The following is an 11,392-nucleotide window of genomic DNA, read 5'->3' on the forward strand; positions in this document are numbered from 1 at the left end:
TATATGAGTATTATAGAAAGTGTTCTCTAATTTAATACTTATAGAAAAAAATTGCTATTTTGAATTGGTCTGTGACCTCAGTTGCCTTTTCCCTGTCTTTGTTCTGTAAGAAGAGTTTCTCTTGGCTCCTGATTTACAGTACTAAATATATTCTGACGGAACCATAGCCCAAGCCCCAATGTTCTTAAGTCCTAATTCAATTAAAGGTATAAATGATATTAAGAAGCTTCTTGTAGTGCAGAGAACATTTCTATTGGGTAAAATGTTTTATTGGAACACTGATATTTCTGCCATTGCTTACTGCCATCATTGTTACTGAACCCTCCATCTCTTGCCCAGGTGTTTACCTCATTATGTATATTTGAATTATTGACAACTGTTGAGCACCTCATCACAGCATTGTGATAATGAGGTCAAGATTTCAGATGTATGGCTGACATCTCATTGGTTTCACTCCACTAATCCCCAGCCCCAGCTTACCATCTTGCATTAAGCTTTCCACAGACTCACAAAGAGTCCTCAGCAAGCAGAGTTGACTTGATAAGAATCCAACACTGCTCTGCCAACTCCCAAAACACTATTGATAGAAAAATCAAAAGTATGATCTAAAGTGCATGTAATTCTTATTATGTCTTGAATTTGTACAGGGTGTTTTCACTAAAGAAATCAAAGTACTACTAAAGCTATCTTAAATTATCTTAACCAACATTTATTCAGTGCCTATAATGATCATGACATTGTGCTCACCACTGTGGGAGATATAAAAATGAATATGGCCCTGTCTCCACCTCATGGAATCCTAAAATAGAGGTGGGAAGATAATAATAATTATAATGTGTATGACATTGTTGAAGCTTATTATGTTGAAGATATTGTTACATTGTCTTATTTGCTCTCAAACAATTTGGATAGGTATTATTATCCCCATTTTAGTAACAAACAAGCTCAAGAAGAGTAAATAACTTACCAAAAGAGATTCATTTACCAACAGATATTTATGCTATGACTCAAATTCATGCCTTTGATTCTAAACATTTTAATACTTAACTGAATTTCTATAAAGTATAAAGACTTAAAATGGTAAAACAAAAAAGATAAAAATTAATATATTCAAAAGTTCTTACAGTTTCCCAGTCCTTTAATACTCCCATAGGGTGTCTGGCTGCTCCCTCTGAAGTGTGCACCCCTTTCCAGTCATTTTGAGAATCCATAAAGGGAGGCAGTTTCATATGAGCTTGCAAATCATTCTATGGGCCCTAGACCTCAGGAGGCACCTCGCTGAGACTTGATGGAACATAGAGTTAGAACCAGACAGTGAAAGAGCGGGAGTCCCACCCATTCTGACTGATAAGGTCCCTTAGTAGAAGCTCCAGGACTCTTAGCAAATTTCAGCAACCATTTTTTTTTCATTGTCTGTCTTTGATATTTAGAATAATAAGCACCTGGGACTGTGGGAGACACACAGTTTTGCCACCCAAGTACCCTTTGTTGCTAAGCTCAGAAGGAGGAAAGAGGCTAATACCACAAAAGAGCACCAAGACCAACCTGGCATGGACCAGCAGGATCCAGGAGAGGATGTGTGAGACTGAATTCTCAGAGTCTTGATCAAGGAGGCTGGGACACAGCAAATAGTGTGTTGACTTGGAATTGTTTTTCTGAGATATGCAATTTAATATTCTGGAGAGGACCCCAAGAGATCATGCAAACTGACTACTATCATGGCTCCCAAAAGTATGGAAAATGCACTGGGCATACTAAGTGTGAAGTGAACATTCCAGCACTTCCATGATAGATGATGGACAAAAGGATTAAGAGGCTCAGGGAAGTAGGAATGCTTGAATGGATATACTATTATATATATGACCAGAAGATAATTGTTCATAGCAAAGCCCAGAGGACACACCATTTTTCAAGCCATAAGGAACGTACTACCAAGAAGAATAAAATACTTGGTGGTGGTTCCCCTCTGTAGGCCAGGGCTGATGGCAGGAGATACCATCATAGAACTGGGCTTACTGATAGCAAAGGGAATAATAGGACTCCAAACCATAAAGTCCAGGTTGTAGCTTTTAACTGCCAGAAGCCAGAGGCTTACAATTAATACAGGAACCAGCAAGACTGAGTGAGAATCTAGAGTGCCTAGCTCAGAAAACAGCATCCAAAAGGGCAAAAATAATAGATAGCAAGAAGGGCACTACAGGAAAAAAAAATATGGCTGAGCTCACAGATGGCTGAGCGGCTAAGAGCACTCACCCGAGTAAAGAGGAACACTTCTTGCCCAGTTTCTGGACCTGAGTCAGTTTTCAGATCCAGAACCCACTCATTGAAGATGTGATGAGTCCCCACAAGTAAGGACCATGCTACATCATTAAGAAGAGAGCGCAATACCTGGTGAGCCTCTTGAAGTTCTAGAGACAGCATATCCCATATCTAGGGTTACTCTGCCAGCCCATAGACTGGGTGATAGAAAAGGCTACAAGACTTTTGCATGGTCCAGAAAATAAAAGGACTCTACAGCATATTCAGGCTATAGTATAAGTATCCCTGTCACTTGGGCCATATGATCTGGCAGTCACTATGGTGTTGAAAGTATCAGTGTCTCAGTCCATTTGTGCTGCTATAATAGAATAACACAGACTTGGTAATTCATAAAGAGCAGAAATTTATTTTCTCACAGTTCTGGTGGCTGGGAATCTAAGATCAAGATGCCAGCAGGTTCAGTTGTCTGGTGAGGGCTGCTGTCTCCTTCCAAGATGGCGCTTGTTGCCGCATCCACTGGAGGGGAGGAATACCATTTCCTCACATGGTAGAAGGGCAAGATAGCCAAACACCACATAAAGAAGTCTTTTTTATAAAGGCTGTAATCCCATTCATGAGGGAGCAGCCTACATAATCATCCCTTAAAGGCCCTACCTCTTAATACCATCACACAAGCCATTGAGCTTCAACACCTAAATTTTGGAAGGGCTATATTTAAACCATAGCAATCAGTAATGGGAAAAGATGCCATGCAGAATTTATGGCAAGTCTCAGCAGAAGAATTACACTACAGAGTACTACAGGTGTTAACCCCTCTGTCTCAGTGTCTGCTTCCAGACAACCCAACCTGTGATTGGGGTACATGGAATTCTTCCAATATTGCACATGACCAGAATGCAATACAGAAAGAAATTGGGTAAAAATACAAACTTGATAGGAAGCATACATTGGGTCTATCTCATGACGTTATTTTAAGAAGGGCAATTACCCTCACTAGCAGGCTACTCATTATCTCCCCGTGAAAAATGTTATGAAGTATACCATCAATATCCACTCCATGTACTTTTCATAGGAGGAAGCCACTGTTCTTTATCTTTCCAAAGTCATGTAAGACTCAACACTCAAGTACCAGTGCCAAAGTCTGATCTTTATATTCACTGATGAAGACCATCAAGGAACCATAGAATCATAGCATGTTGGACATGGGAAAGACTTTGCAGGTCTTTATTCTCACTGGTAGAGTTTGATGCACACAGTGGAGCCTTCAAATGCCTGATCATTGTTTTCCCGCCTTCCTCTGGGACTATGGCATGGGACCTAAGGAGAAGTCTGCCTTTCCCAGGAAGGTTTCCTCCCCAATAAAAAGATTCACAAGAAAGCAACCCCTCATCTTCTGTGATCTTTTTGATGTCACATTGTCTATTCTTGGTGCTAGAACTATGGTAGCCACCAGCAACCATAAAGAGAGACATCAGGAACATGATACAACACAGTAAGACAAAAGGGTCCGTGTCCTTTGTTACATCATTGAGCTGTTGAACTAATCCCTCAAACAACCCTGAGTCCAGAGTTTTTTATTTTTATATAACATCCCTTACTTTTAAAGACATTTTTATATGGGTATTCTGATTTGCAGCCAAAAGCTGCTATATTAGGGATTATCTAATCCAGTATCTGTGTTTCACAGATACAGAAACTAGGACTCTGAGTGAGTAAATAACTTGCTCTACAGTCTGATTAAGTATCAGAGCTACAACTCAAATGCTAGTGTCCTGATTCTTGCACTAAAGCACTTTCCACCAACCCTTATAGAACACTCTAGCTATAATCAAAAGACAATAATAAGACCAGAAAGAGGCCTGGCAGGCTCTGAGGAGAAGCCACTTCGGCACTCAGGGAGAAGAGGGCTCCTGCCAGTGAATACAGACCAACAGGACAGGATCCTAATCAATTGTGAGTGACTCTTCTGCCTTGTTCCTGACCTTGTGTCCCCAGAAAGCCAATTAAAAATAAGCATTGACCATGTCACTGTCCTAGATACACAAAAATAACATTACTGTACATGACCAAAAGTGAACCAGATTCTCTGAATTTTTTTCCAACTTCCAAAAATAGTTAGGACTCCCTGCCAAAGAGTGGGGCTTGAATTCCCATGAAAAAAAAAAAATCAGTTCACGGCATTTGCTCCAGTGTAGAAATAATTAAATACACACTGAAGAATGGAATTCTCAGTGCTCTCTCACCCCATCAGCCTGTTTTCTGAAAGTAAACAAAAAAAAATTTTCCAATAATGTGGCAACTGCAATGTAATGAAGAAAGCACTAGACTTGGAACCAGGAAAACTGGCTTCTAGTCTGTAAGAAACATTTATTATTCACTTTAGTAACCCAGCATCTGACCCTTTCTTTACTGGTTTGAAGAATCCCTCATCTTAAAATATAGAACCCATCTTTCATTGTATAAGCTTAAATGGTCAGATACTTATTTCTCCCAGCTTCCCTTGCAGCTAGAATTTGGGCACATGGCCTAAACTCCACTGCAATGGCTAATTGTGTGTCAACCTGACTGAATGACAGGTGCCCAGATACTTAGTCAAATGTTATTCTAGGTGTGTCTGCAAGGGCATTTCTGGATAAGATTAACATTCAAATCAGTAGACAGAGTAAAGCAGATTGCCCTCCCCAGGATGAGTGGGTCTCATCCAATCCATTGAAGGCCTGAATAGAACAAAAAGATGAGGTAAGACAGAATTCACTCTGCCTGACTTTTAACTGGGACATTAGTTTTGTCCTGTCTTCTGACTTAGACTGGAATTTATACTATAAACTCTCCTGGTTCTCAGGCCTTCAGCTTTGGACTGAAACTATACCATCAGCTCTCCTGGGTCTCCAGCTTACCCACTGCAGATCCTGGGACTTCTTGTCCTCCATAACCATGTGGGCCAATTCTTTACTTAATGTGCGTGTGTGTGTGCGTGTGTGTGCATACACATATACATATATAATTCCTACTGGCTCTGTTTCTCTGGAAAACCTTATTCTCAAAAGTACTATCCTCAGATTTTGAACAGAAAGCTAGTGCGGCAAAGAAAGATCCAGAGAGAGTGGGCTTTGCAAAGAGGGGAGGGGAAACAGAGTTGATTAGATACTCCTAGTTGAGGTTTGACCTGGAATCACAGGAAACAATCCTGCCGCTTTACAGAAAAGACAAGGGGTATGAGGCTTTTGTTTCCTCTCTCAGTGCTGAGGCACTGGGCATTACAGATCCACAAGTCAGTTTTGACCCTTGGCCAGACAGGAAGCCCCATGAGGAAAGAAGCTTCATTGGCCTGTTCATTACCATCTCCCCAGCACCTAGCTCAGTGCCTGAAGCCTAGCACCTGCTCATAGTATCTGTTGGATGAATGAAGTCTGCTGTATCTGCATACACATCAGCCATTTCTTGAAAATAGGATTGTTTTGAGATTTTTATGCTGGCCAAATGAAACCTCCCTCAGTATAGGAATATTAAAGAAACCTCAGGCTAGCAGAAGCATAATAATAACTGAAAATAATAATCATAAATCATGCTGCTATAAAGACACATGCACACGTATGTTTATTGCGGCACTATTCACAATAGCAAAGACTTGGAACCAACCCAAAAGTCCAACAGTGATAGACTGGATTAAGAAAATGTGGCACATATACACCATGGAATACTATGCAGCCATAAAAAATGATGAGTTCATGTCCTTTGTAGGGACATGGATGAAGCTGGAAACCACCATTCTCAGCAAACTATCGCAAGGACAAAACACAAAATACCACATGTTCTCACTCATAGGTGGGAATTGAACAACGAGAACACATGGACAAAGGAAGGGGAACATCACACACCAGGGACTGTTGTGGGGTGGGGGGAGGGGGGAGGGATAGCATTAGGAGATATACCTAATGCTAAGTGACGAGTTAATGGGTGCAGCACACCAACATGGCACATGTATACATATGTAACAAACCTGCACGTTATGCACATGTACCCTAAAACTTAAAGTATAATAATAATAAAAAAATAAAATAATAATCAAAGAGGTTTGGATTTGGGCTTAACTTTAGGCTTGACATTCATTGGAAGAAGTCACAATATTGAACATTTTCTAATGGTAAAGACTCTAGGGATTGATGCCTTGGCTGGGAAAGTGACATCCTCCAGCCATGTACATTCTCATACCTCATGCCAAGATGAACTGAGATCGAAAGTGACAAGACCTACCTGAACCACCTCTAACCAGATACTCTCAGCAGGGGCTCAACTCTCGTTCCAGTCTTGCTTGTTACATTTTGCTGTTGCCATTAAAGGGTGAAAGGATGATCCAGGGAGCAAGCAGATTCCCTTGTTACTATTTAGCTTATAACCAAATCTCTAACTCTTTAATTATTTTCTTGATGCATTTATTACAAGAGAGCTTTAGTTCAAAGGTAGCAGAGCTTGAAAGTTAGATTTGTACAAAAATTTAAAAAGCAGCTTGTTTTGCCAGAATTATCTATATTTCTTCAGACCAGCACGTGGCTGTGGTAGTAGAAAAGGCAGGGTCTAAATAGGCCCTCAACAGTCCTTTATTAGAACAGAAACTTCTCTAGGCTGATTCTTTGTGTCCTAATAGGCTTCAGTATATGACAGAAACAAGAGCTAACACCTGCAAATATTTATTATGTGCCAGTCACTGTCCTAAGCACTTGACCTGTATTAACTGAGAGAATCCTCACAAATCCCTATGAGGTATGTGCCATCATACCTATTTTACAGATGAGGAAAGGCAGATACAGAGAAGTAACTAACTTGCCCAAGTTCACACAGCTAGGAGGGGAGGAACGCAAATTTGAACCCAAGCACCTGGCTCCAGAGTCTGTGCTCTTAACTGTGGTCAACATGAACACTAGCTGACAAACCCCACGCTGCCTGGCATAGATTCCATGGTGTATGCTGGCAACAGAGGAACCAGAGCTAAGCACCAATGGGTAAAGAAGGAGCTGAGGAACAGAAAGCAAGTTTAAGGTATTTTTTAAAAACACACACACATACGCATGTGCATGTGTCTTTATAATAGAACGATTTATATTCCTTTGGGCATATACTCAGCAATGGGATTTCTGAGTCGAATGATATTTCTGTCTTCAGATCTCCAAGGAATTGCCACACTGTCTTCAACAATGGTTGAACTAATTTACACTCCCACCAGGAATGTATAGGGGTTCCTTTTTCTCCACAACCTCACCAGCATTTGTTATTTTTTTACTTTTTAATAATAGCCATTCTGACTGGTGTGAGATGGTATCTCATTGTGGTTTTGATTTGCATTTTTCTACATGCCTGTGTATGTTCATTGCATCACTATTCACAATAGTAAAGATATGGGATCAACCTAAATGCCCATCAGTACTAGACTAGATAATGTGGTACATTTACACCATGGATGTAAGAAAATGTGGTACATTTACACCATGGTACATTTACACAGGACATGGATGGAGCTGGAGACCATTATCCTTAGAAAACTAATGCAGGAACAGAAAACCGAATACTGCATGCTCTCACTTGTAAGTGGGAGCTAAATGATGAGAACACATGAACACATAGAGGGGAACAACACACACTAGGGCCCATTGGAGGGTGAAGGATGGGAAGAGGGAGAGGATCTAATGGGTACTAGGCTTAATACCTGGGTAATGAAATAATCTGCACAACAAACCCCCATGACACGTGATTACCTAAGTAACAAACCTTCACATGTACCCCAAACTTAAAAGTTTAAAACAAATCATCTTTATTATTTCTGACTATAAACATAATATGCTCATTGGAGAAAATATAGAAAATACTCAAAAAGTATAAAAAATCAAAATCAAAAATCTCACCTGAGTTTGTCTTTTACCCCTACCCACAGGTCTCATTCATTCATTTGCTCACCTCTTCTACCACTAATTCACTATCCATTTGCCAAGTTTCATGCATGGCTCTGTGGAACAAGTAATATTGTACAGTTCACATAAACTAACCCAGCTTGATTAGCTTAGAAGAAGTAATAAAGGATATGTAAGAATGTCTTATCTACAATTCAAGGCAAATTGTAATTAAAAGTAATACAAAAGAGGATGTTTAGGGCAGTGAAACAATTCTGTCTGATGCTGGAATTGTGGATGCATATCGTTATACATTTGTCCAGACCTATAGAATGTACAACACCAAAAGTGAACCGTAAGGTAAACTATGGATTTCGGTGATAATCATGTGTCACTGTAGTATGTTCATCAGTTGCAACAAATGTACTACCGGGTGCAGGATCCCGATGGTGGGGAAGGCTCTGCTTATGTGTGTATGCAGGCAGGATGCATATGGGAAATCTCTGTACTTTCTGCTCAATTTTGCTGTGATCCTAAGACCTTTCTAAAAGATAAAGTCTATTTAAACCAAAAAAAAATTCTCTTTTTTTAAGTAATAGAAAGTTAAAATAATGCTTTGTGAGTGTTTACTGTGGGCCACACAGAGTTCTAAAAAATTCTACATAATTAACTCATTCAATCCTTACAACAACAGAATGAGGTGAGACTATATTTAAGTCCCCCTTTTATAGATGAGTGAACCAACATGCAAAGAAGCTTACTAACTAACCAAAAGTCACTCAGAGAATGTGGTAAAGCCCGAATCCCAACCTGAACAGTGAGCTCAAAAACCTCACTCCTAATCTTGTCTCCTCAGCCTCTGTGGAGGTTTGGGACAACTAAGGATGGAGGGATCCCTCAGGTGAGGGAAGGTGGGGTGGGAAGTGGAATTTCCAGTGGGGAGGGGGTGGGGGAGCATCTGAGGTGGATGAAGAGTGAGCAGTAGTCCTCCTCTTTCCTGTTCCTGAAGCAATACAGAACCTTACAATAGCTTGCGTTGGAGTGTCTATGGGGGCTGAATGCTAGATTTCGGGTCACTGGGCCCTTCCCAGAAAGAACAGTACCGTCTGAAGCGTGCCCCTCACTGCTAAGTGCTGTAGATCCGTTGTGTCTTCAAGCCAGAGATGGAGATGTCTGTGTTCAGTTGGTCACCTCATCCCGCACCTCCCTCTTCCTTCCCCTCACAGCCCTATCTCAAATCACTTCCCAGCAATGACTTGCCCTTCTCCCTCCAGGGCTGTCCCTGCATTCCCCACACCCTCCCGGCTGGCACCTCTGCCCAGGCTGTGGTTTGGCCCCGGAGGTCTGGACTGGACAGGGACAGCCTGAGCTGAACCTCAAGGAACAGGAAAGTTCAGTGTTTGCCTGAGGCACAACGAGTCATTCAGCAGTCACTAACTCTCGCTCCTTAGCACTCCATCCCCCTGCAGAAACCTTCCCAGGGGACATGGGGACATTTAGCCCTATTGAAGAGACTAGCCTCCATTGGCCTACTTTCTTCCCTCACACTTCCTTCAAGGGGCTTTAGCAAGATTTATTTCTGACAGAAATGTCTTTCTGTAGACTTGTAAATATTCAGTCACTTCACAAGTTTGCTTAAAACTGTACCAAACTGTATTTTATTCCATTTTCAAAAATGATCTGTGGTAGCCTGACTTCAAAGTTGGCTGCCTTGGCTGGGCGCGGTGGCTCACGCCTGTAATCCCAGCACTTTGGGAGGCCGAGACGCGTGGATCACGAGGTCAGGAGATCAAGACCATTCCGGCTAGCACGGTGAAACCCCATCTCTACTAAAAATACAAAAAACTAGCCGGGCGTAAGTGGCGGGTGCCTGTAATCCCAGCTACTAGGGAGGCTGAGGCAGGAGAATGGCATAAACCCGGGAGGCGGAGCCTGCAGTGAGCCGAGATCGCGCCACTGCACTCCAGCCTGGGCAACAGAGCGAGACACCATCTCAAAAAACAAAAACAAAAACAAACAAACAAACAAACAAAAACAAAGATGGTTGCCATCAACTGCTGCCCTCTTGTAGACACATGCCACTCTTCCATGGAGAGGGGAGGCTGCTCCTGCACACCCTCGAAGCTCAGCTGGCCGGTGACTACTCTCAACAGAAGATACGGTGGAAGTGACATTGTGCCAGCTCCAGGCCCTGGTCTTTAAGAGGACTGACAGTTTCCACTTCTTGCCTCTTGGATCCCTGAGAGACACGGAAGAAATCCAGCCACTGTACTGGAAAGAGGCCACGTGGAGGAACACAGAGGGATCACGCATGTGCATGAAGAAGCCATGTTGAATGTCCAACCAGTAAAGCTTCCAGATGGCTCAGCCCCAGACTCCCAAACAAGAACTACTGAGCTCAGCTCATTCAACCCACAGAACCATGAAAAACAATAATATATTATTAAGTCACCATGTTTTGGATTTTTTTATGTAGCAATAAATAAATTATGATCATTCACTTTAACCCACTAATTCTAGGAATCTAGAAAATAATCCGAAATATAATCCAATATTCATGAATAAAGATATCTAATACATATCATTGTTGATCATATTAAAAAAAAGAGAAAAAACATAGGGCAAGGTTAAGTAAATTGTACATATGATCTATTGTGTAACATTTAAATAATGTAAATAATGCTAAGGCCAGGCGGTGGCTCACGCCTGTAATCCCAGCACTTTGGGAGGCCAAGGTGGGTGGATCACCTAAGGTCGGGAGTTTGAGACCAGCCTGACCAACATGGAGAAACCCCATCTCTACTAAAAATACAAAATTAGCCGGGCATGGTGGTGCAAGGCCTGTAATCCCAGCTACTCAGGAGGCTGAGGCAGGAGAATCGCTTGAACCTGGGAGGTGGAGGTTGCAGTGAGCCAAGATCATGCCATTGCACTCCAGCCTGGGCAACAAGAGCAAAACTCCATCTCAAATAATAATAATACTTAAGAAGAGTCTTTAATATCATAAAAATGCTTTCGACTTTTTAAAAAGAAAGAAAAGAAAATGAGTCACCAAATTATGAATTGTAGATGATCTCTACCACATAATATACATACAAGTAGAGATGATTGGAAGTGTGTTTGCTAATGTTGTCAGCATTTTTAACTGGTGGTAAGATTGTTATATTCTTCTTTATAGTTTTCTGGGCTTTTCTAAGTTTTCTAGAACAGGATTGTGTTTTTAGATTTCTTATCATAAAAGTAATACATGC

At 41.4% G+C, this 11,392-nt stretch overlaps 1 annotated feature.

Moving 5' to 3' along the window:
• Positions 8,945–9,446: an enhancer, noted in NCBI's record as "H3K4me1 hESC enhancer chr5:56052539-56053040 (GRCh37/hg19 assembly coordinates)". NCBI's record gives its function as "activates a minimal SCP1, AML or CMV promoter by ChIP-STARR-seq in primed H9 embryonic stem cells {active_cell/tissue: H9 hESC(primed)}" and the evidence as "EXISTENCE:reporter gene assay evidence [ECO:0000049][PMID:30033119]".

The sequence above is a fragment of the Homo sapiens genome, chromosome 5, assembly GCF_000001405.40.
Source record: "Homo sapiens chromosome 5, GRCh38.p14 Primary Assembly".
Classification (NCBI taxonomy): Eukaryota; Metazoa; Chordata; class Mammalia; order Primates; family Hominidae; genus Homo; species Homo sapiens.